The sequence below is a fragment of the Homo sapiens genome, chromosome 18 (genome assembly GCF_000001405.40).
Source record: "Homo sapiens chromosome 18, GRCh38.p14 Primary Assembly".
In the NCBI taxonomy this organism is placed as follows: domain Eukaryota; kingdom Metazoa; phylum Chordata; class Mammalia; order Primates; family Hominidae; genus Homo; species Homo sapiens.
The window spans coordinates 79,940,329-79,964,071 of NC_000018.10; the positions used below are offsets into that span (position 1 = coordinate 79,940,329).

Consider the following 23,743-nt stretch of genomic DNA (forward strand, 5'->3'; position numbering starts at 1 on the left):
GCAGTGGGTCACGCCCGTAATGCCAGCACTTCGGGAGGCCAAGGTGGGTGGATCACTTGAGGTCAGGAGTTCAGGAGTTAGAGAAATAATCTGTACACTAAACCCCCGTGACAAACAATTTACCTATATAACAAACCTGCACATGTACCTGAACTTAAAAGCTTAAAAAAAAAAACAGAACATGTTCAGAGCCAACAACCTTCCCTTAAAGGTGACGCCGCTGACAGGAAGACAAGGCTGGCCACCTTGCTTGGCATGGGGCTGTGCTGCAGGAGCTACCGATCGGGCGGCCAGAAGCCAGAGCTTTCAGTCTGAACTCCAGTGATGTTCCTGCCTTGCCCTCCCCTCTCCTGGCAGATGAGAGGACATGAGCCCACACCTTTCATCAAGACGCCCTGCAGGAACAGGCCTGGCCCATCCACCAAGGGGACGTGGACATGTATAAACTCAAACCGGACTCCAATATTAAGAGTGCTGCAGAGGTAAATCTTGAGAATTCTTTAACACACACAGCTACACCCCAGGACACAGAGCTCAAGAGCGGATGTCCCACTTGAGGTCATTTGGGGCCCAGGAGTCATGCAGCTTGGTTCTCAGTCCTCCCCGGGGGAGGGCAGGCACAGGTCACCCAGGCTGACCCCAGGAGCCCGGCCCCCTACCCCTCGTGGCGGCCCTGGACTGCTTCCCAAATACTCCAGGCCTGAGGAAAGGGTGCCCCAGCTTCCTATCGCCTCCATAACAAGGTACCACAAACGTGGCAGCCACAATGCAGGCTGATTATCTTAATTCTGGAGGCCAGAGGCCCAGTGGTCTCCTGAACTAAAACCAAGGCTGTGTCTCCTACCCATTCAAGTACAGGCAGAACTCAGCTCCCCGTGGTCGGGGGCTCTGCTGCCTGTAAAGCGACGGCCGACCCATGGCAGAGAGCCAGGCCCTCAGCTCCAGCACCTGACCATCTCCTCTGCGGCCCTTGTTCACGTCTGAGGACCCCTGAGATTAGGTTACACCACAGGATAATCCAGGACCAGCCCCCTCAAGAGTCTCTCTGCCATGTACAGTGGCACGTCACAGGTTCCCAGGATCAGGGCACGGACGTCTCCAGGGGCCATTATTCTGTACACCCACAGAGGGTGTTTAAAATTCAGATTCCAGGCCTAGCTCTGGAAACTGGGACTCACATTTTTAACTCATCCTGGGTAACCAGAAGAGAAGTACTCCTTTGGAAGAAGTGACACAGAACGCCAGGCATCCACCATCCCACTCCCTTCTTATCCAACGGTCCTCTGAGACAAGCCTGAACCTGCACCTGCTGGTAAAATGAATGCAGGTGGGGAGCTTACGATGCCGCTTCTAGGGGTATCCCAGTGTTCCAACACACACTCACATTAAACCCCACGCTGGCTGCTCTGCCTGGACACTCACAACCTGCCGTCTCTGGGACCTCACATCAAGCCACTGCCCACTGCCAACAAGGTCACAAGGTCTGGCCTCATGTCCAGAGCCCGAGGACAGCAGAAACACCCAGCAACGCACTGGGCATCTTAGGCACAAATGTCCAGAGCCCGAGGACAGCAGAAACTCCCAGCAACGCACTGGGCATCTTAGGCACAAACCGTTCTCTCGGCCAGCCGGCCCTCCCACAGTGAGAACATTCTTGTTCCAAGTTAAATACTGAGGTTCAAAGGGGCAGGGAACATGCCATGAGGAGCTCAGGTCCAGAGAAGGAGCAAAGCCTTGCGGGGAGCAAGACCGAGTCACCTAAGCAGAAATGTAAAACCGCAGCTCCTCATGCGGGGAATCCGGCTGGTTCTTAAAAGCCTGCTTTCTAGGCAAGATCTGTGGTATCCTCAGTACCATCTCTGGTGTAATTTCAAACCCAAAACACAATAGAAGGGAACAGAGCAGAGACTCAGAGGAGAGGAGAATGGCGTGAATGGGGAGAAAGAACAGAACACCGCAGAAAAGACGCTGGAGCTCATCTCTGTGGCCCCAACGACACTAACTGGCCCAGGTCACACTGGCTGGAGGCTGGTCTGGTTTCTACAGAGGCTGAAAGCAGCACACAGTCACCTCAGTCTAGAAACAGAAGCAGACAAAAAGGCAGAGGTGGGAATCCTCTCCAACAGGACGAAGTAGCGGTCAGGAATAGAAACACAGGGACACAGCTCCCCGGCAAGAGCTCAAATCCACAGAAGCCCCAAACTTAACAAACTCTGGGAAGATACTCTTCTCCAAGTGATAGCTGAGATCACTCTCTCTCTCAAAGCCAAAGTGAGTGCTGTCTTAGATTTAGTAATTAGAAGAAAAACAAAAGGAAGGATTTAACCCTCCTGCACACAAGAAGCCCGCCAGCCTGCATGTTCAAACAGAGTTCAGACTGGAACAAACTGTGCAATAGGCAAAAACTGGAAGAAGTATTTTCTATTTTCTAAGCTGCCAAAGGTTAAGGAGCCATGTGTGCTAAGCATGTGATTGGTCCTGCCCAGCTGTCAACACTGCAGTGTGCTCCGCATAAAGGGGCTGCCTGACCCTGCGGGGGGACTCTGGGTCTGTTTAACAAGGTCTGTGAGGAAGACCCTGGCTAAGGTACCCCTGAGTCACAGCAGAACTGAAAGGGTGTGTTTTGTGTACAGGCCACGCACACAGACGAAACGCCTGACCTGGTACCGTCTGACCTGATGGGCCAGGCACAGATGAGCACTTCTTGTTCTGACACAGAAAGCGTCTGGGATGGCGCTCACAGCCAAGAGGAACCGTGAAGATGTGTTGAGGCCTCACCCAACTTCCAGTGAAGAAACTATTATCTTGAATTGCTTCAAGTCATAAACCGTTTAACTGAAGTCATTTAACATACTGAAAACACTATCAGCTGGAGATAACAGCACCACTTGGTGAAATGAAAGCTGCTTGGATCAGGACAGATTAGAGTGGCTTTTGTTTCACCAGAGTCACCTACGCCCTGATTCCCTGCGACTTTATTCCGAAGCGCCGGCCACCAACCTGTAAAGGAGCGGCGCCTGGCGTTGAGCTCGTTGGCCACACGGACCTCGGTGCACAGCTTCAGCATCAGCAGCATGGTCAGGATCATGATGGCGCTCTGCCACAGCAGCGGGGACTCAAAGCGCCTTCCAAACCTGCGGGAGAGACACTGTGTCAGGAGGGAGGTCCACCCATGCCACTTCTCCCAGTCCCGAACCTGCAGCGGGAGAGACCCGGGTCAGGAGGGAGGCCCACCCACGCCGCCCCTCCCAGTCCTGAACCTGCAGCCGGAGAGACCCTGTGTCAGGCCCACCCACATCGCCTCTCCCAGTCCCGAACCTGCAGCGGGAGACACCTGGGTCAGGAGGGAGGCCCACCCATGCCGCCTCTCCTGGTCCCAAACCTGCAGCAGGAAAGATCCTGTGTCAGGAGGGAGGCCCACCCATGCCGCCTCTCCTGGTCCCGAACTTGCAGCAGGAAAGATCCTGTGTCGGGAGGGAGGCCCGCCCATGCCGCCTCTCCCAATCCCGAACCTGCAGCGGGAGAGACCCGGGTCAGAAGGGAGGCCCACCCACGCCGCCTCACCCAGTCCTGAACCTGCAGCAGGAAAGACTGCCCACCCACTCCCCCTCTCCCAGGCCCCAAGCGGCATCCCGGGGAAGGAGCCCAGGAGTTGGCAAACACCACAGTGACCAGGCACCTGTTGCCCATCTCCCAGACTCCAGGTGGGGTAGGGCTCCGGGGAGGGGCCGTAAGACCCCCATACAGCCTGACTCAGAACCCTTCGGCACATTTGGCGCTCCCCAGAACCAGTGGCCCAGGCACTGGTACCCGGGTCTAGTGGCCCTGAGTCCCCTCCCACAGCTCAGCCCAGGTGCCCCAGGCCCTCCCTGCAGCCTCCGGGTTGCCACCAGGCAAAAAGCCCAGTTTCTAGCTCACAGCAGCCCTGCTTCCTGCCTGGGGAAGGCGGGGATAGTGTGCAGAGCAGCAGGTGGGCCAGATGCGAAATTTCCACATGCACACACACTCCCACAGAAGAGAAGACAGCCAAGGCTCTGCACCACCCCCGCCCCCACGCCTCCCTGGCCCCGAGCTCCTCTAGCTGCAGGCTCCCAGGCCTTCTTGCTGACTTTTGACCAGGGTTGAGCATCTCTTCAGCTCAGCTAGGAGCCTCTGCAGGGCAGAACCACAGGCCAATGACTGGCAGTCTCTGCCTCCCTGCGGTCTCTGCCTCCCCAGAGCCACCACAGAGCTGGGACACATGCCTGCAGAGCCACCACCTCCAAGGCTGGGCTGTGTGTGGCACGCACTCATAGAAAGCCCCAACCCCTGACTGTTCCAGCGCGGGAATCTCAATCAGCCTGCAGTTTGGCCTGAAGGGAATTTTCAAAACTTGAACTGGTCACCAACATGTCAAAGTCAGGAGATCCTACATAACAGCCTCATTTCCCAACTTCTGAAAAACTGGAAGACCTAGCAACAACCACCACAGCCCCCACCTCTCTCCAGCTCCCATGCAGCATCCCCTTAACACGAAGCAGAAGAAGGGGGAACCCCGCAGCCCCCTCAGCAACCCCTTATCGACTCAGAGCAGAAGCAGGGGGAACCCCACAGCCCCCTCAGCACCCCCTTATCAACACAGAGCAGAAGCAGGGGGAACCCCACAGCCCCCTCAGCACCCCCTTATCAACAGAACAGGAACAGGGGGAACCCCATAGCCCCCTCAGCACTGCCTTATCAACTCAGAGCAGGAACAAGGGGAACCCTATAGCCCCCTCAGCAGGTGAGCCAGCCCAGCAGGTAAGAAGGTTCCACTTGCAGGTGAGGCTCCCACAGCAACCAGGAAAAAGCCACAGACGTTCTCCTGGGAGGACAGGGAGCCAGGATGCAGTCCTCAGAGGGTGGCCATGCTGATTCCCTCTGTGCTGGCTTCAGAGACCAAGGCCCTTCCCTGTCTCCTGGGAGCTTTTCAGCAGAGGGAGCAGCTGCCTGAGGTCACAGAGACTCAGGGAGCAGAGGGAAGGGCAGAGAAAACAGTAGCCTGGGCCTGGGGCAGACAGGGGGCCAGACAGGCAAGCAGACAAGCTGCATCTCACCCAGGTCAGCAGCCATGGCCCAGGGTGGACAGGGGCCAGGCAGGCAGGCACACAAGCTGTACCTCCAGGAATATCACCCAGGTCAGCAGGGGCCACCACCGTCCCCTTGCCTCACTGGATGCTTCCCGAGGAAGCCTCTGAGAAACACACAAGGCAAGACTAAGAGGCAAACAGAAGAAGGGAGGGTGATGGGCCCGGGGATAGAGGACGGCCAGCAGCAAAGAGGCAGCTTGAACAGGGTTTTCTGGGCCTGAGGCACAGGCCGGAGGTGCAGGGACACTGCAGGAGCAGGAGTGCAGGGGGCACGGGCACTCTGCCCACAGGCTGGCTCCAGCCCCCACACCGGCCCCCTCCAGGCCTCAGCCTCTGCACTATAAAGCACGATCGCAACCCCCAAGGCTGGAGGATACAGCCAAGCTCACAGTCACTTCCAGGGCCGTTCTCCACTGGCTACCAAGCGGCCTGGGTGCCGGTCAACCCACCCACAGAGACCTGAGGCTGAGGAGGTGACGCTGGGCAAGCATCTAAAATAGGCCAGTCCCCTGGGACACACGGAGGCCACTTCACACCACGTTCACCTCCAGCAATGAGGCTGCACGTGAGCCATTTTGGCCACTCTGTGTGAAAGGCCACCTGCATTTTTTTAAATGTTTAACAGAAGCAATGAATGACGAGACGGAGGAGGAGGCGGGTGAATCAAGGTTTGAGCTTCCCCATAATCCACACATCAAAAATCAAATCTAGAGAAACTCGATATGCACAGTAAAGAATGAGGCCTTTTAAAATGAAGTGACAGGGTGCCCGGGGAGATAGTAAACTAATTTTAGGGTGAAGACAAAGAAAAACACAAAATTTCAAAAAGCACAGTGTTCCACAAAAGATGCACAAGGAACAAAATGAAAACGAAACAGAATCCAGCAGCATTAGTAATTTTAAAAGCTAATTAAAATAGATGCCACATTTACTTCTCAACTTAACTTTTTCTTCCTTTAGTGATAACAGTCTGTGCTGGCCATGAACTTAGGAGAGCACTTTTCCTCTCCTGCCGGAGGGCGTGACTCCCATGCCTCTTCTCACGGCAGGTGCCAGGCAGCCCACCTGTGTGGTGCAGGAGCCTGCTCCTCGGGAAGCACCAAGATACCTCGTCTAAGGTGGACTCTGCAGGTGATCATGCCCAGGTGCCCATCCACAGGGAGAGACAGTATAGAGGGTGCCCCATAACTGACCAGGCCCACAGAAAAACTTCTCCATGTTCCAAAATCTCACAGAAAAACTCAAGCAGGGCTGGGCACAGTGGCTCACACCTGTAATCCCAGCACTTTGGGAGGCCAAGGCAGGTGGATCACGAGGTCAGGAGTTCAAGACCAGCCTGGCCAATATGGTGAAACCCCGTCTCTACTAAAAATACAAAAATTAGCTGGGCGTGGCAGTGGGCGCCTGTAATCCCAGCTATTTGGAAGGCTGAGGCAGGGAACTGCTTGAACCCGGGAGGCGGTGGGTGCAGTGAGCCGAGATTGTGCCACTACACTCCAGCCTGGGCAAGAGCGAGACTCTTGTCTAAAAGAAAAAAAAAATCCAGCAGAAGAGAAGCTTTGTAGCTTTGTATCTACTCTTAGGCACCACTAAAGCTATCACCTTTAGTAACAAAATGTTATGACCTCTCTGATACAATGTTTTCATTCCTCCATCTAAGAGTGCTCCAGCCTGGGTGCTACTGTGGGTGGAGCTGAGGCTCCCAGGGCCCTGCAGCCCAGTGTGGCCTGATCCCCGCCTGGCCTCTCCGCTTTTCCTCCACATACTCACAGCTGGCAAACACCAGCTATGAGGCATCATTTAGCCCTTCTCCTGGCTTCTGGCACCAACCTGCCAAATCCTGAATGTTGGCATTCCACAGAGTGTGATCTGCTGAATGCTGGTTTTGCAAAATGGTAGTAAGGACTGTAAGAAACAAAAACATGAGTGACCTATGTTTCAGAATCCCTGGGTTTGTACTGTTAAAGCAGCCCCTGCAGGACTGCAGAGCCCCATATGCCATGCACCCCAAATCCCCAACGGGGAGCTGCCCAGAGGGACTGGAGCTCTGAGGACCATGCCCCAACAGCTTTGGAGGCGTGAAGATTCGAACTCCACCTCTGCTCTCCCCGTCTCCCGCCCCTTCTCACCAGAGCCCAGCCCAGCCCCACCTCTGCTCTCTGCCCCCACCCCAGCCCCTTCTCACCGGAGCCTGCCCCCGCCCCACCTCTGCTCTCCTGCTCCCACCACCCCCAACCCAAACACCGAGTGTGCCTGCGCATGCGTGGAGCTGGGGTTGTGTGTGATGCATCCCGCGTGTCACTTCTGCTAAAGCACAAATCCTCTGCCCTACAAACCATGAAATCAAAGAGGCTGTGAACCTACAAAGCCTGGAGAGGGGAAGCCAGGAGTGGGGGGTCACAAGAGGCTCCCAAGAGAGAAACAGAAGGGGTCATCATCCCCCTCTGCACAGCAGGACCTGGGGACCGGGTGGGCACAAGAGGATGTGTGGTAGGTAGGGAGGTGGGCTTCGCTGTGTGGAGTGCAGGGATGGCGCATCCTCAGGCTGGAGGGACGCCCAGCAGGAACGAGCGCCCTCTGCTCTCCCCGCTTTCATCCCACCATCTTCTGGAACACACTGGGGCCCTGCGTGTGCACTCAGTGGTCACAGAAGCCATGCATGACCAGGACAGCCCAGGATGTTGATTCTATGAAGAGACCCATGGACAAAGTTCAGAATTCCCTGGAAGGCTGCCCTGTGCTCCACAAAGAAAGAGCTCAAGTGTCTCTCCAAGGCCTGTAAGCAAGAACTCCCAGTTCCAGCTTCAAACCTCTACGTCAGTGCCAGTTAGGTCATGAGGCAATGACAAGATGGCACCAGGAAACTGGGTTAATCTCTGACTTCTCCAAACCGATACTTAGATGGACATTAGATAGATTCTTTTCTTTCTTTTTTTGAGACAGGGTCTCTCTCTGTTGGCCAGACTGGAGGACAGCTCACTGCAGCCTCGAATTCCTGGGCTTAAGTGATCCTCCTTTCACAGCCTCGCAAGTAGCTAGGACTACAGGTAATGCCCCCACACCTAAGCTAATGTTTCAATTTTTTGTAGAGACGGTGTCTTGCTGTGTTGCGTTGGTTGGTCTTGAACTCCTGGCCTCAAGTGATCCTCCCACCCCGGCCTCCAAAAGTGCTGGAATTACAGGAGCGGGCCACCGTGCCCAACCTAATTTATTTTCTTTTAGCAACTTTGAACTATGAGCATACTGGGGAGGGAAACCTCTAAGCGGAACTTCTTTCCCGTATGGTTATCCACTCTCAGGCAATTTTCCTCCATTATTTTGGAGAGAATTTATTCTATAACCCTGAAGACGAGTGCAGCGCTCCTTCACAACACACACGTGAGCTGGGGCTGTAGCAGGTGGCCTGCCGACCAGCGTCTCCCCAACCCCCACAACATGCACTCAAAGTAAACAACAGCATTAGACAATTAGAAACCTACTTCCAGTCAACCTTACGCTCACTGAGGCCACTGCAGCACCGCCAGCCACGTCTCCAAAGCAGGCGATGGGAAAGAAAGAAGGAGTCTCCAAAATGAGCACCCCTGAACCTCCCTCAGATGCAGCCTGGCCCAGAGACAAACCTCGAGACGGGACTCGGACCCAAAATCCTCCTCCGAGGTCGTTGCAGGGGACAAACCTCCCTGCCTCAGAGACAACTCTGGGGAAGAGGCAGCCAACCCACTCGCTCACCTAAAAATCCCTGGCAGGGGCAAAACTAACACCCAGGGACACATGGACCAATGGCTGCCCATGGCCAGGGCTGGGATGAAGGCCACGGAGCAGGGAGCACCCCGGCTCATGAACACGGGACACCTCAGCATCAGAACTCATCAAATGGACACGAAAGGGGTGTATTTCATGGAATGCAAATCACACCTCAATAAGGTTGACTTAAAAACTAACAGGCGGGCCAGGCGCGGTGGCTCACGCCTGTAATCCCAACACTTTGGGAGGTCAAGGTGGGTGGATCATGAGGTCAAGGGATCGAGACCATCCTGGTCAACATGGTGAAACCTGGTCTCTACTAAAAATACAAAAATTACCTGGGTATGGTGGCAGGCACCTGTAGTCCCAGCTACTCAGGAGGCTGAGGCAGGAGAATCACTTGAACCCAGGAGTCAGAGGCTGCAGTGAGCCGAGATTGTACCACTGCACTCCAGCCTGGCGACAGAGCAAGACTCTGTCTCAAAAAAAAACAAAACAAAACTAACAGGCAAAGAAGCAGGTACGTGATTACTCAGTGACCAGAGTCAGAAGCAGAGTTCTTGACACCAGCTGCCTGGACTCCTTCTCTCCACCCCTCCACCAGGCCCTCTTCATAGGAAGAGCAGCAGACACCTTCCAATCTGCCCGGACAGAGAGGCTGGGATCACCCAGAAGAAAGAAAAATTTCAGACGTTTTTGGCCTTAGAATGCAGCTGTGAGACCTCATTTCCTCTGAAAACTCACCCTCCCAATTATGTCTGCCTTCAACAACTGTTAAAATTAATTTCAATTTCCTTAGCCTAATACAAATACAAAGAGGAAGTTGGGGAGAGGAACAAGACAGTCTCCAGAGAGAGTGACTTCCTATTTAAATAAGGCAGGCCAGGCGCCGTGGCTCAGCTTGTAATCCCAGCCCTTTCAGAGGCCCAGTGGGGAGGGATGCTTGAGGCCAGGAGTTCGAGACCAGCCTGGGCAACAAAGTGAGACAACCCCCCACTCCCCTGTCTCTACAAAAAATACAAAAAAAACAATTAGCCGGGTGTGGTGGTGCGCCTGTGGTCCCAGCTACTCGGGAGGCTGAGATGGGAGGATCACCTGAGCCCAGGAACGTGGAGACTGCGGTGAGCTGTCATGTCATCATGCACTTCAGCCTGGACCACAGAGCAAGACCCTCTCTCAAAACAACAAAGAAAAACTATACAACATGAAAAAGGAGGGCAGGAACGGCTCCTCTCCACAGGCAGGCCTAGGCCAGTGCCCAGCTGAGAGGTCCCTGCTAAGTACCCATGTGGAACATCATGCAAGGAGGCGGATCTGGAGATTTTCTCTGAGATTCTGTGCTCCAACCCCACCGTTTTTCTGGAAAAATAATCTCACCCTAAGAAGTGACTTGCCTGCAGCCACGTACCCCATCCACGGCAGAGTGGGACGCTGGCCCAGCAGGGAGGTGTGGACCCTGCTGCTCCCCCGGCCTCAACCAGAAACCCCAAAGGAGAAACCCTCTTCTCCGGGTGCAGCCCAGGAAAGCAAGCCCCCAACTTACCAGAAGAGTATCCGCAAAATGTTGGCCACCAGCAGCACCAGGCACACGTAGGTGGAGAAGCCGTCGGCGTTCTGCGTCCTGCGAATGTCCCGATACTGCGGGACGTAGGGCACCACCCCTCCGAAGACCATGGCCGCGGCCGCGCCCCAGGACACCAGCTGGTGCAGTGGCACCAGGAGCCAGTCCAGGCCCTCGGCCTCCATCGCAGCGCCCGCCTGGCCGAGGCTGTCACGGGCTCCGCGCCCCGCGGGCCACCGGCCGCCTGCTCATCGCCGCTCCGCGCGCTCCTGCGGCCTCGGGGCCTGCGGGGAGCGGGGAGCTGCTCGAGTTCCGCCCAGGGAGGCTGGGGCGGCGCGCACGGACCCGACCCGACCCGCGCCAGCCGCAGGACCCGAGGCAGAGCGGGGGCGACCGGGGCCCGGGGCGCGCGAGGAGCGGCCCCTGCCTGGGACGGGGGGGTGTCTGGGGGTCCCGAGACGCTCCCGGAGGGGGCTGGGGAGGGGTCCCAGCGCCGGGGTCGAGGACGGGCGAAGCCCCTGGGGTCACCGCCCGGGTGCGCTTAGCCGGCGGGGGTCCACGCGCGCCCCGGGATGGGGTGGGGGAGGGGGCGCAGGGCCCAGGATCGGGGCGCACTGTTCGGGGGAGGGTCACAGGGCCTAGCATGGGGGCGCACGGCTCGGGGGAAGGGGGCGCAGGCCCAGGATGGGGGCGCACGGCTCGCGGGAGGAGGTGCCGGGCCGGGGACCCCACAGGACCAAGCCAGGGGACTGAAGGCCGCGACCAACTGCCCCGGCCCTGCGTCCTCGGCCGCCCTAGGCCGCCCCCCGAGGACCCCGCGCCGCCCCCGCGCTCCTTACCTGCGCCCCCAGCCCCGCGCCCAGCGCCCCGCGTCCCCGCGCCGCTGACCCGCGCGCGTCTCGGCGTCAGTCCGCTCAGGCGCCGGGAAACCCCGCCCCGTGACGTCACAATGCCGGGCCCCGCCCACGCCGGAGCTGCGCGGAGGCGCCGCGGTGTCCTAGAGCGCGCTGGGCAGGGCGGGCGCAGGCGGGGCCGGGAGCCGGGGCTGTCGGGGCGGTGGGGGCGCGTGGCTCCTCCCGCCCGGTCGGGAAATACCAGCCGGGCGGGGCCGGTCCCTCAGGCCTGGCGCCCACGTTAACCCGTCTCCAGCTGTCCCGGCGCGCGGCCATCCAAGCGGAGGGCGTCGTCCTGGAGGGCCGGGGGCGCGGGGTCCGGACGCCCCTCTCACGCGTGTCCTGAATGCGGGCCACCCGGGGACGAGTCTCGTCCAGCTCTGTCCTGACCCAGGAGACCCGGGGACCCGGCTCGGAGTTTGCAGCGCCCAGAGGCGGCCGGGGTCTCGGGAAACGGAGCGCCCCCCGCGGGTCTCCGCTCCGATGCAAGTGCCCCACGAGCAGATGCGCCGGGGCCGTCGCCGGGGGGCCGGCTGGACGCGCGGCCGTCACCGTGGCCATTGTCATTATCGTGGTTGCGGCCACGGTCGCTGTCGCTGCAGAAACGCGGGGCGGCCTCTCCCCATCCCCGTGTAGTTCTCCGGGCTGAACCGTTGGGCGCCTATTTGCAGAAAAGGCAGCTCCTGAGCCTCAAGACAGACTCGGGGGCCAGGCGTGCGTGAAGCCCGGGCCCTGCTGCCGGCCTCGCGTGCCAAGCCAACTCCGAGCCCCACACCCGCCCGCGGGGAGCTGCCCTCGCCCGGGACCCTCTTGGCCCGCGCGGGTGAGGACTGAGGGCGAGGGGCGCGTGGATGAGGGGCGCGCGGGTGAAGAGTGAGGGGAGCGCGGGTGAAGTGTGAGGGGAGCGCGGGTGAGGGGTGAGGGGCGCGCGGGTGAGGGGTGAGGGGAGCGCGGGTGAGGGGTGAGGGGTGAGGGGAGCGTGGGTGAGGGGTGAGGGGTGAGTGATGCGCGAGTGAAGGGTGAGGGGCGCCTGGGTGAGGGGTGAGGGGTGAGGGGCGCGCCGGTGAAGGGTGAGGGGAGCGTGGGTGAGGGGTGAAGGGTGCGCGAGTGATGGGCGGGTGTGTGTAGGGTGAGGGACGCGTGGGTGAGGGGCGCGGGGGTGTGAGGCGAGGGGTGCACGGGTAAGGGGCGAGCCGCGAGGTTGAGGGGTCCACGCTGAGGGTTGCTTCCCCGCCAGCCGCGGCCTCTTCTCCACGATCCCGGCCCCCTGCCCCCTGCCCCCTGCCCGACTGGTTTTATGGGGGATCATAAGGACAGTCACCACCTAACTAGGAGCAAATCCCCAACAATCGAGGAAACAGGGCGCTCCTGCCTTGCGCCCCCAGGCTGGCGTTGGAACTTCTTTAGAGCCAGCGCTGCGGAGCCCCAGCACCAGGAACGTAGAGGTGAGTAAAAGGCACAGCAGGAAGCCTGGGAGAGAAAAAGCAGCTGCCCCTGCTCAGCCGCGCCCTAGCCTGAGCCCAGCAGCCTTTGGGATCATCTGTCCTCTCTGCCCTGGAGGTTGGAGTAAGCTCCGGACCTCCTTGACCCTCACGGGAGCACTGGGGTCCCAGACGCTATCCTCGGTTATCTTAAATCCAGAGGCTGTGGAGGCATGGGGCAAATTGTGCCCGCAGCCTGGGGCCTAGAGCTGCATCTGTGCACGGGGCCTCCAGGAGCCCGGCTCAGTGGACGAAATCTGGCATGCTCGGACGTCACCCCACAGGCCTCACGCCTCAGAGGCACCCCGAAAGGTGAGTTGATGACTGCAGAGTGAGTTTGTACCTTTTCGAACACCACCTGCCGGGGGTCCGAGCCCCCACCCCCAGTCTACATCAGCCAATCACAGCTCATTGCAGGTGCTGCGCTTGTCACATAGCTTCCTGCAAACAAGAGAAGCCGACCAAGCCATGCACAGCTGGAAAATGGCCCTTATAAAGCCATCAAGTCCTAATCCAGGCAACCTGTAAATATTACCTCGTATGGGAAAACAATTTTTTTTTCTAATGTCATTAAGGATCTTGAGATAGAGAGATTGTCCTGGATTATCCAGGTGGGCCCTAAACACTGTGGCTCACGCCTATAATCCCAGCACTTTGGGAGCCTGAGGCAGGTAAATCTCTTGAGCCCAGGAGTTCGAGACCAGCCTGAGCAACATGGTGAGACCTCGTCTCTACAAAAGATAGAAAAATTATCTGGGCATGGTAGTGTGCACCTGTAGTCCCAGCTACTCCTGAGGTGGAAGGATTGCTTGAGGCCAGGAGGTTGAGGCAGCAGTGAGCCAGGATCGCACCACTGCACTCTAGCCTCGGTGACAAAGTGAGACCCTATCTCAAAAATAAATACATACAACAGAGACAGGGTCTCTGTGTTGGCCAGGCTGGTCTTGAACTCCTGGCCTCAAGCGATCCTCCTGCCTTGGCCTCTCAAAGTGCTGGGATGACAGGCATGAGCCAGCGTGCCCGGCCACATGCATCTTTGTAAGAGGGAGGCAGAAGGAAATTTGGTGCCACACAGAAGAGAGGGCCATGGGAAGATGGAGCAGAGATGAAGATGGGGCCTTGAAAATTGACGTGATGCAGTCCCAAGCCAAGTAACGCCGGAGCCACCAGAGGCCCCAGAAACAAGGAGCAGATTCTCCCCAGGAGCCATGCGAGGGAGCCTGGCCCTGCCAATGCCTTGATTTCAGCACATTAAAAGTGATTTTGGACTTTTGGCCTCCAGAGCTGTGAAGGAATAAACTTCTGCTGTTGTAAAAGCCACTTAGCTGTGGTCATTTGTTGCAGGAGCCAATGAGTGACTGACAAGATCAGAGCTGTGACACAGAGGAAGCAGAGCTGTGCCTCATGCTTTCCAGGCTCTGCTCATGAGAAACAGGTCACTGGGTTGGCCCGGTGCAGATTAAGGTGTCACGTAGGAGCATGAATACCTCAGGGAACCACTTAAGAATTTGCCTAACACATGGTGCTTATAAAAGGAAAAGCAAACAAAGCAACCTTGTTCTGAGAGCTGGGACATCAGAGGAAGATTGGAGCCACTGTTTCTCACTCAGCCTATTTCTTTTTATTTTATTTATTTATTTTATAGAGACGGGGAGCTCACTATGTTGGCCAGTTTGGTCTTTGAACTCCTGGCTTCAAAGGATCCTCTCACCTAGGCCTCCCAAAGTGCTGGGATTACAGGAGTGAGCCACCTTGCTGGTCGCGCACCCCATTTTTTAAGGAAACCTGTACGGAAGGTGGATTGGAAGTCTCACTTTAGGAGCCTGGCTCAGAAGTTCCGCAACTTCAACTGGTGTCATGTGACGTGCTTGGCAGTCACCACCCCCATCCTTACAGCAAAGAATAGCAGGGCAGCCTTTCATGGGCCCATCAGAGAACTAAGGCTGCCAGACAAACTGGCACCCTGCTCTGAAGAGACAGGCACATCCAGGGAGAGACAGCACCTGAGAGCTGCTCACCCAGAGCAGAAACTCCTGGATAAACTGGCTTTAGCAGAAAAATTAGACAACATGCAAGACCAGATAGGTGATATCAGCAGAAAGATGGAAACAATAATAAAAAAAAAATGCTAGAAGTCAAAAACACAATAGAAATAAAGAATGCTCATTAGTTGACTAGACAGAATGAAGGAAAGAATCAGTGAATATGAAGATAAGTCAACAGAAACTTCCCAAACTGAAATTCAAGGAGAAAAGGTGATGAAAAAAAAAAAAATCAACTGATCTAGTTTGAGTGTGTGTCCCCACCAAATCTCATGTTGAGTTATAATCACCAGTTTTGGAGGTGGGGCTTGGCAGGGGGTGTTTGGATCATGGGGGCGGGTTCCTCATGAATGGCTTGCACCATCGCTTCATCCCCTTGTGATGAGTAAGCTCTCACTCTGAGTTCATGTGAGATCTGTTTTTGTTTTTGTTTTTGTTTTGAGACGGAGTCTCGTTCTGTTGCCCAGACTGGAGTGCAGTGGCACAGCACAGTCTCAGCTTACTGCAACCTCCTGGGTTTAAGTGATTCTTGTGCCTCAGTCTCCCGAGTAGCTGGGATTACAGGCTTGTGCCACTATGCCTGGCTAATTTATTGTATTTTTAGTAGAGATGGGGTTTCACCATGTTGACCAGGCTGGTCTCAAACTCCTGACCTCTTGATCCACCCACCTCGGCCTCCCAAAGTGCTGCGATTATAGGCATGAGCCACCGCGCCCGCCTGAGATCTGTTTTTCTTTAAAGTGTCTGGCACCTACCCACACCCTCACTCTCTCTCTCTCTTGCTCCTGCTTTTACCGTGTGAAATGCCTGCTCCCACTTTGCCTTCCGCCATGAGTAAAAGTTCCCTGAGGCCCCCAAGAAGCTGAGCAGATGCTGGTGCCATGCTGGTATGGCCTGCAAGAACTGTGAGCCAATTAAATCTCTTCTCTTTATAAATTACTCTGTCTCAGGTATTTCTTTATAGCAATGCAAGAACAGCCTAATACACCAACAGAAAACACCATCCAAGAACAACATCAAAGGATATGATTGGTACAATGGGAGAATCGGAAGGAGGAAAGAGGAGAAGGGGCAGGAGAAATGGTGGAATGGCAAGAATGTCCCCAAATTAATGACAGACACCAAACCATAGATCCAGGAAACATACAGAACATCCATCAGGACAAATAACAAAAAACATAAAGCAAAACAAAACAAAAAACCACACCTAGGCTTGTCACATTCAAACTGAATAAACCTGCCTGACTGAACCCTCGTCCACCAGCCACAGCTACACCTCTGACAAGACAAGAGACAGATTTCAGTAACTCTCCTGGTAAGAGACCACTGACCATGGCTGGTCCCGGCTGGTTTACAAACTCTGTGCACCAAGTGCCTTTGAGTCTTAGAAAGACCTTTTGATGTATAGGGCCTAACTGTAATACATGTAAATGTTACATCTCTACCCCAAAGTGAACATGGGTCATGTGATACATACAGCAAGACCCCCTTCATGAATATTCATAGCTCCTCATGTAACCTATTAAGTATATTTAGCCAACCAAGTCAGCATAAAGCTCGTGCCCCATCCTCTCCTCCTCTGAAGGGCCTGTGTCTGGTCTTGTGGGATGTCTATCTTGCAAGTTATTTAAGAAATAGTCTCCTTTTCTAAATGCAGTGTTGTGTGATTTTTTAAGTTAACAAGAGGAATATGAATAAAAATGACCGTGGACTTCTTGTTAGAAATCATGCGGATAACAAAAGGGTAGAGTGAAATCTTTTTTTTTTTTTTTTTTTGAGACAGAGTCTCGCTCTGTTGTCCAGGCTGGAGTGCAGTGGCGCAATCTCGGCTCACTACAAGCTCCGCCTCCCGGGTTCACGCCATTCTCCTGTCTCAGCCTCCCGAGTAGCTGGGACTACAGGCACCCGCCACCACATCCGGCTAATTTTTTTGTATTTTTAGTAGAGACGGGGTTTCACAGTGTTAGCCAGGATGGTCTCGATCTCCTGACCTCGTGATCTGCCTGCCTCGGCCTCCCAAAGTGTTGGGATTACAGGCGTGAGCCACTGCGCCTGGCCGTGAAATCCTTAAAGTGTTGCAGTTGAAAAAAAAAAAATCTGCCCACCTAGAATTCCATATAGCAAAAGTATCCTTAAGGTGCAGGAAAAATAAAGACTTTTTCAGAAAAACAAAAACTGAGGGAATGTATTGCCGGTAGACCTGCCCTGTGAGAAATGTTAGAGAAGAGACAAGGAAGATGATACAGGTCAGAGGCTTAGATCTACATCAGGAAAGGAAAAGCATCAGAGGCAGAATAAATGAAGAGAATTAATGTCTCTTGTTTTTCTTTTTTTTCTTTCTTTTTTTTTTTTTTAAGACAGAGTTTTGCTCTTGTTGCCCAGGATGGAGTGCAATGGCGCAATCTCAGCTCACTGCAACCTCCACCTCCCAGGTTCAAGCAATTCTGCCTCAGCTTCCTGAGTAGCTTGGCTTACAAGGACATGCCACCATGCCCAGCTAATTTTTTTTTTTTTTTTTTTTTTTTGAGACAGAGTCTCGCTCTGTCACCCAGGCTGGAGTGCAGTGGTGCAATATCAGCTAACTGCAAGCTCCGCCTCCCGGGTTCACGCCATTCTCCTGCCTCAGCCTCTCAGGTGCTGGAACTACAGGCGCCCGCCACCGCGCCCGGCTAATTTTTTGTATTTTTAGTAGAGATGGGGTTTCACTGTGTTAGCCAGGATGGTCTCGATCTCCTGACCTCGTGACCTGCCCACCTTGGCCTCCCAAAGTGCTGGGATTACAGGCGTGAGCCACCGTGCCCGGCCTATAATTTTTTGTATTTTTAGTAGAGACCGGGTTTCGCCATGTTCGCCAGGCTGGTCTCGAACTCCTGTCCTCAGGTAATCAACCCATCTCAGTCTCGCAGAGTGCTGGGATTATACGCGTGAACCACCTCGTTATTCTTTTTTGTTTTTGAGGCGGAGTCTTGCTCTGTTGCCCAGGCTGGAGTGCAGTGGCGCGATCTCAGCTCACTGCAAGCTCCGCCTCCCGGGTTCAGGCCATTCTTCTGCCTCAGCCTTCCGAGTAGCTGGGACTACAGGCGCCCACCACCATGCCCAGCTAATCTTTTGTATTTTTATAGAGACGGGGTTTCACTGTGTTAGCCAGGATGGTCTTGATCTCCTGACCTCATGATCCGCCCGCCTCGGCCTACCAAAGTGCTGGGATTACAGGTGTGAGCCACCGCGCCCGGCCAACCTCGTTATTCTTAATTGATCTAAAGACAACTGTTAAAAGCCATAAAGTAACAATGTACTGGGTGATTACAGCTTGTGGACAAAATGTCACAAGGGACAGTGGGAGGAGCTGGGACTTTTCTGATGTAAAATACTTCCATTGTGCTGCCCTCCCTACCACGGGTCTAAAGCTATATTCCACAGCTTAAGCCACTTGGTCACACACTGAAACCCCTGGGCAGCTTTAAAACCACAAATGCTCAAGTGCCCGGGCCCACCCGCAGAGCACCGATAAAGGGGACTGTGCCAGTCAGGGTAGCCTTCTAAGCCTTCCCCAGAAGTTCTGATGTGCAGCCATATTTGAGAGCCACTGTTTTAAAATTCACACCTACAAAAGCTGCATGGTACAGGAGGTCCTCATTACCCACAATCATGACTTCTTGGAAAGACCACTTACTCAAACAGGACCAGAATTGCATAGTAAATAATTCATGGGATTAGAAAATAGTTGGTTGATATTGCATTAACAATGAAAATTAAACTTATGAAAATATTGCAATTATTTTAGAATAAGTAAAACAGAGCGGGCCAGGTGCGGTGGCTCACTCCTATAATCCCAAGACTTTGGGAGGCTCAGGTGGGTGGATCCCTTGAGCTCAGGAGTTCAAGACCAGCCTGGTCAACATAGTGAGACCCCCCATCTCTACTAAAAATACAAAAATTAGTGGGGTACATTGGTGTGCATCTGTAGTCCCAGCTACTCAGGGGTCTGAGGTGGGAGGATCACCTGAGCCCAGGAGGTCAAGGCTGCAGTGAGTCGTAATTCTGCCATTGCACTCCAGCCTGGGCAACAGAGCAAGACCCTGTCTCAAAAAAAGAAAGGAGCAACAGTCTCTACTCAGATCTGTATACCCAAATCTATACCCAAAAGAACTGCTTTTATATAATTTTTAAATAAAACTTTTCAAACACAAAAGAGCGTAACATAATGAAAGGCATGTATCCATCAACCAGCATCAATAATTATAAAATCGCTCTTTTAATGAGTATAAAATAAGAACTGAACTTAACGTTTAATTGGCAGCGTTTCTCCATTTCTGATAATAACAGTGCACCCTAAAATCAGCAGCGTCTTAGATTTAGGGCCTCAGAAACAAGGCCACCCACACTGGATCCGAGGGGCAACTGGGCACCTCCATGGACACCCATGCTTCATAAAGACAGCTGCACCCTACACTGGGTTGGACTGGGACGTTTTCAGCTATCCAAAATAAAACGTTGGTTTTCTAATTTAAAGCTTTGTTTCATGTCTACATTCTGCTCTTGTAGTCTGCATCTTCGCTCACGTAATTAGCTATTTCAGTCTTACCCAGACTGTTTTCTTCCCAATTGTCTGTCCTCACACCAGGGAAAGACTGGCTAATTTCTGTAACTTCAGAATACACATTAATATTCTTTAATATTTAGATTCCCATGGTCAATTATTCATCCTGGGCTAGTACTCGGCAGTTTCTCTTTTGTCAGTTCATGCGCCACCCAGGCAGCATATGCTGAGGAAGGCACAATTTCTACATTTATCCTAAGCCAAACATGAGCAGGAAAACTGAGAGCTATTCTAAACATAATTTTATCGGGTCAAAAAGAAACAACTGCTAGGCCGATCTGGCCGATGACTCCTCCAGTAGCTGTGAAATCGAGAATGCACATCATTTTCTTGCTGTGTTCCTAAGGTAGAGGAGACCACTTTGAAGACCCGCAGTCCATATTGGCATTGTAGAATTTGAGCAGAGGGCCATTTTGTTCTGTACTAAGAAAAATTCTTCTGCCTTGAGATGCTGCTAATCTGTAACCCTACCCCCAACCCTGTGCTCCCTGAAACACGTGCTGTGTCAACTCAGGGTTAAATGGATTAAGGGCTGTGCAGGATGTGCTTTGTTAAACAAATGCTTGAAGGCAGCTTGCTCGTTAAGAGTCATCACCACTCCCTAACCTCAAACCACTCCCTAATCTCAAGTACTCAGAGACACAAAACACTGCGGAAGGCTGCAGGGACCTCTGCCTGGGAAAGCCAGGTATTGTCCAAGGTTTCTCCCCATGTGATAGTCTGAAATATGGCCTCATGGGAAGGGAAAGACCTGACCGTCCCCCAGCCCGACACCCGTAAAGGGTCTTTGCTGAGAGGATTAGTAAAAGAGGAAAGAACGCCTCTTTGAGGTTGAGATAAGAGGAAGGCTTCTGTCTCCTGCTCGTCCCTGGGCAATGAAATGTCTCGGTGTAAAGCCAATTGTATATTCCATCTACTGAGATAGGGGAAAACCGCCTTAGGGATGGAGGTGGGACATGCTGGCAGCAATACTGCTCCTTAAGGCATTGAGATATTCGTGTATATGCACATCAAAAGCACAGCACTTTTTTCTTTACGTTGTTTATGATGCAGAGACATTTGTTCACGTTTTTACCTTCTGACCTTCTCTCCACTATTATCCTATTATCCTGCTGCCACGCCCGATAATGATCAATAAATACTAAGGGAACTCAGAGGCCGGTGCCAGTGTGGATCCGTATGCTGAACGCCGGTCCCCTGGGCCCCCTTTTTGTTTCTTTATACTTTGTGTCTCTTTCTTTTCCAAGTCTCTCGTTCCACCTAACAAGAAACATCCACAGGTGTGGAGGGGCAACCCACCCCTTCACTGTGTTGTCTCCATCAGATCCAGCTGAAGAGCTTTGCTCGAAAGCCAGTCCTTGGCCAGCATGGCCTCGTGCCTGTAAGTCCAGCGCTTTGGGGGGCCGAGGTGGGAGGATCACTTGAGCCCAGGAGTTTGAGACCAGCCCTGGCAACATATGGAGATCCCTGTCTCTAGAAAAATAATAAAAAATAGTAGCCGGGCATGGTGGCGTGCCTCTGTAGTCCCACCTACTCGGGAGGCTGAGGCAGGAGGATCCCTTGAGCCCAGTTCAAGGCTACAGTGAGCTATGATTGCACCACTGCACTCCAGCCTGGGTGACACAGCAAAACCCAATCCCAGAAAAAAGAAAGGCAGTCCTGTCATCTCCACAGACCACCCGGCCTATGTCGGTGAGGCCTGAGGCTGCTGTGTGCGGCGATGCTGGGTGGTCCTACTCGGGCTGCCCAAGAAGCCTGACCTGAAAAAGCAGCCAGGGCTGGAGGGACGGCCCAATATGAGCCTGGCCGATGCCGGCTGGAGAGGAGAGAGGCGTTCCCAGGTCAGAGGCAGGCTCGTCTCGTCTTCTGCAGGGCCAGTTCCAGGCTCGTGTGGGCCAGTGGGGCTCCCTGCTCGTTTAGCTGTCTGTGGTTAGGAACGCATAGCCCATGAGGACAGGGTGCCCAGCTTGAACCTGCACCCAGAGTCAGCCAGTCAACATCTGAAGATAACGGGTTCCACAGGGTGCCCACAAGCTCTCCAAAGTCCCAACGCCAGTCTGCCTTCACGGCTGTCCGAAGTGCTTTATCACTGGTGAGCTCAGTGCTGTCAAGAGCTCTGTGGCCCCTGCTCCGCCTGAGTAAGGGAGGAGCGGCAGCCAGGGAGCAGCCCCGCCCTGGAGACACCGAAAGCCCTTGGGTCTGCGCCTGCCCCCACCACGAGGGAGCCGTCCCCTGAAGCCATGAGCTTGATGCTGGGCTGTCCCTGGAGTAAAGCTTCCGGGAACTCCGTGCCTGCAGAGTAAGGGAAGAGGGGACGTTCTAGAACTTTCTGGAAGGGAGGAAGGAGGGCAGTCTGACTGGCTCCCTGCTCATTTAGCTGTCTGTGGTTAGGAAAGCTGCCTGTGGGCTGATGAGGAACCCTGTCGTGGCCCTGCCGTGGGGCACCACTGCCCATCTCCTCCCGCCTCCAGAGATGAGCGCCCTCTGAAGAGCTTGGAGGGCTGACGCCAGCCCGCTGTGTCTGCCTCCTCTCTACAGGCGTAATTTCCTTTTCCCCTAAGTTAGCTTGAGTGACTTCTGGTTCTTGACACTGAGGTGTGTTTCTGATGGAAACACCACCGGCTTGTACTCCTTGCCCCCCACGCCAGGCAGGCTTTCCTGGGTGCAGGCCGTCCACCCTGTACTGTGGCATCTTCTGGCCCTGCCTCCTCCTCCTCAGCAGCCACCCACACTGGCTTTCCCGAGAAGCCAGAAGCCGCCCGGCAGGATTCCTTAGGCCTGAATGGTCCTGGGAGTGGGCCGGGAGCCACAGCACAGCAGCCACTTTCCACCCACACCGCGTCTTTCTCAGCCGTCCACACTGGCCCCTACAACTAAGTTTGTATCTCAGCCTCTCTCAGAGACAGAAAAAAAGAGGAGGATGCTAAAAGCACACAAAAAGTGGCAAAATGGCCATGCTTTTAAAAAATAATTTTAACAGCTTCATTGAAATGTAATTCACATACCACAAAACCCACCCATTTAAAGGGCATAATTCAACAGTTTTGAGTATATTTACAGGGTTGTGAAACCTTCTTACGATCTAATTTTAGAACATTTTTGTCCCCCCACAAAGAAACCCCAGACCTCCTAAATCTCTCCGCACTCTCCCTCGTCCCTGCAGCCCCCAGCAACAGAAGTCAACTTTCTGTCTCCGTGGCCTTGCCTGTTCCAACTCTCCATGGACTTACCACTCAGGGTCTTCACGCCTGGCCTCTGCCACCCAGCGTTGTTCCGGAGGCCCGCCTGCTTCGTAGCGTGCGTCAGCGCCTCACTCCTTTGTGTGGCTGAGGAATATTCTATCATCTGCATTTTGTCACCTACTTATTGGGGGTGGACATTTGGGTGGTTTCCACCTTTTGAGCATTACTGATGCTGCAGTAGACTTGGTGCACTCGCGCTGTCGTTTCGGTATATGCCTAGGGGTGGCGCGGCTGGGCCCTGTGGAAACTGCTTCACTTCTGAGGACCCACCCGACTTTTTCACAGCACTGCAGCCTTTCACAGCCCACCGGCTGCGTGGGGGGGGCCACAATCCCCACACGCCTCTCGGACTTACGTTTGTCTCTCTGATTCTAGCCATGCTGGTGGGTTGCAGTGGGAGCTCATTGTGGTTTTGGTTTGTGTTTTCCTGATGACTGGTTGTAATGAGAAAAACCGAGAATCACATTTAAAACCTTACCCTAAAGTGGGAGTTGCTGAGAGACCAAAGAATGACTGGGCGGAGTCCAGCTTGGTGAGTAGGTGAGTTTATTAGGACTCACATGTGGGGCACTCGTGGGCAGCAGGACAACTCTAGAGATGAGCGTGCTTCTGTCCCTAAGCTGCTTTTGAGCTAATTTTCTGCCTCTTTGCGCCGTCTGTGTGATGGGCCTGCTCCCTGTGGTGGTTCTCACATCCCCTCCGGGCTGTTTGGGTTCTCAGGGACACCTGCTCCTCGCTGGGCACCGTGGCCTGGACTCACCGCCTGGCCTTTAGGGTTCAGGCCACAGACATCCGCCCTGAAGTAACCTGGCGGGAACCGCCACGCCACAGCGGTGGTGCTGGGTGGCTGTGTTTTATTTATCCGCACATGGAGACACCAGAGCTTCCAGGTGTGGTCACTGGGCTGTGCCCTAGGGATGCTGGGGTGACCAGACATAGCCCTGTTCCCACAGCGCTGCACAGGGGCACAGACATGGCAACAAGACTGGTAACCCTAAAACACCGTCCTGGGAGGTCACCCACAAGGTGACGAGCCACAACCCAGGTGTGAAAGAGGCCAGGGAAGGCCCGG

General features: G+C 54.5%; 1 protein-coding gene and 1 long non-coding RNA gene across 22 annotated transcripts in view, besides 9 other annotated features; one reads left to right on the plus strand and one right to left on the minus strand.

Annotated features, from left to right (window-relative positions):
- SLC66A2 (solute carrier family 66 member 2) overlaps positions 1-11,325 on the minus strand; it is a 49,234-nt gene extending 37,909 nt beyond the window's left edge. For 9 of the 21 annotated variants that reach the window (XR_007066224.1, XR_007066225.1, XR_007066226.1 and 6 more), the window contains exons 1-3: positions 10,396-10,691; positions 6,939-7,013; positions 3,001-3,134 (exon numbers count right to left, since the gene is read on the minus strand). Coding sequence is in view for 16 of the 21 variants with exons in the window: in XM_047437834.1 (XP_047293790.1) it covers positions 3,001-3,134; positions 6,939-7,013; positions 10,396-10,598 (412 nt within the window). In the remaining 5 variants the exon portion in view is untranslated. Of the gene's footprint in view, positions 1-3,000; positions 3,135-6,938; positions 7,014-9,190; positions 9,234-10,395; positions 10,703-11,252 lie in introns of those variants that run through there. The other 12 variants (XM_047437837.1, XM_047437831.1, XM_047437835.1 and 9 more) reach the window with 7 other exon arrangements.
- Positions 3,937-3,996: a silencer, noted in NCBI's record as "silent region_9579". NCBI's record gives its function as "represses an Ori minimal core promoter by ATAC-STARR-seq in GM12878 lymphoblastoid cells {active_cell/tissue: GM12878}" and the evidence as "EXISTENCE:reporter gene assay evidence [ECO:0000049][PMID:35858748]".
- Positions 10,607-10,726: a silencer, noted in NCBI's record as "silent region_9580". NCBI's record gives its function as "represses an Ori minimal core promoter by ATAC-STARR-seq in GM12878 lymphoblastoid cells {active_cell/tissue: GM12878}" and the evidence as "EXISTENCE:reporter gene assay evidence [ECO:0000049][PMID:35858748]".
- Positions 10,767-10,846: a silencer, noted in NCBI's record as "silent region_9581". NCBI's record gives its function as "represses an Ori minimal core promoter by ATAC-STARR-seq in GM12878 lymphoblastoid cells {active_cell/tissue: GM12878}" and the evidence as "EXISTENCE:reporter gene assay evidence [ECO:0000049][PMID:35858748]".
- Positions 11,167-11,676: a silencer, noted in NCBI's record as "silent region_9582". NCBI's record gives its function as "represses an Ori minimal core promoter by ATAC-STARR-seq in GM12878 lymphoblastoid cells {active_cell/tissue: GM12878}" and the evidence as "EXISTENCE:reporter gene assay evidence [ECO:0000049][PMID:35858748]".
- Positions 11,807-11,856: a silencer, noted in NCBI's record as "silent region_9583". NCBI's record gives its function as "represses an Ori minimal core promoter by ATAC-STARR-seq in GM12878 lymphoblastoid cells {active_cell/tissue: GM12878}" and the evidence as "EXISTENCE:reporter gene assay evidence [ECO:0000049][PMID:35858748]".
- On the plus strand, positions 12,481-15,768 carry LOC124904336 (uncharacterized). Its single transcript, XR_007066429.1, has 2 exons — positions 12,481-12,751; positions 12,948-15,768. It is a non-coding gene; the product is annotated as an uncharacterized LOC124904336 (long non-coding RNA).
- Positions 17,402-18,000: an enhancer, noted in NCBI's record as "NANOG-H3K4me1 hESC enhancer chr18:77717730-77718328 (GRCh37/hg19 assembly coordinates)". NCBI's record gives its function as "activates a minimal SCP1, AML or CMV promoter by ChIP-STARR-seq in naive H9 embryonic stem cells {active_cell/tissue: H9 hESC(naive)}" and the evidence as "EXISTENCE:reporter gene assay evidence [ECO:0000049][PMID:30033119]".
- Positions 18,001-18,598: an enhancer, noted in NCBI's record as "NANOG-H3K4me1 hESC enhancer chr18:77718329-77718926 (GRCh37/hg19 assembly coordinates)". NCBI's record gives its function as "activates a minimal SCP1, AML or CMV promoter by ChIP-STARR-seq in naive and primed H9 embryonic stem cells {active_cell/tissue: H9 hESC(naive and primed)}" and the evidence as "EXISTENCE:reporter gene assay evidence [ECO:0000049][PMID:30033119]".
- Positions 19,724-20,408: an enhancer, noted in NCBI's record as "OCT4-NANOG-H3K27ac hESC enhancer chr18:77720052-77720736 (GRCh37/hg19 assembly coordinates)". NCBI's record gives its function as "activates a minimal SCP1, AML or CMV promoter by ChIP-STARR-seq in naive and primed H9 embryonic stem cells {active_cell/tissue: H9 hESC(naive and primed)}" and the evidence as "EXISTENCE:reporter gene assay evidence [ECO:0000049][PMID:30033119]".
- Positions 22,797-22,876: an enhancer, noted in NCBI's record as "active region_13547". NCBI's record gives its function as "activates an Ori minimal core promoter by ATAC-STARR-seq in GM12878 lymphoblastoid cells {active_cell/tissue: GM12878}" and the evidence as "EXISTENCE:reporter gene assay evidence [ECO:0000049][PMID:35858748]".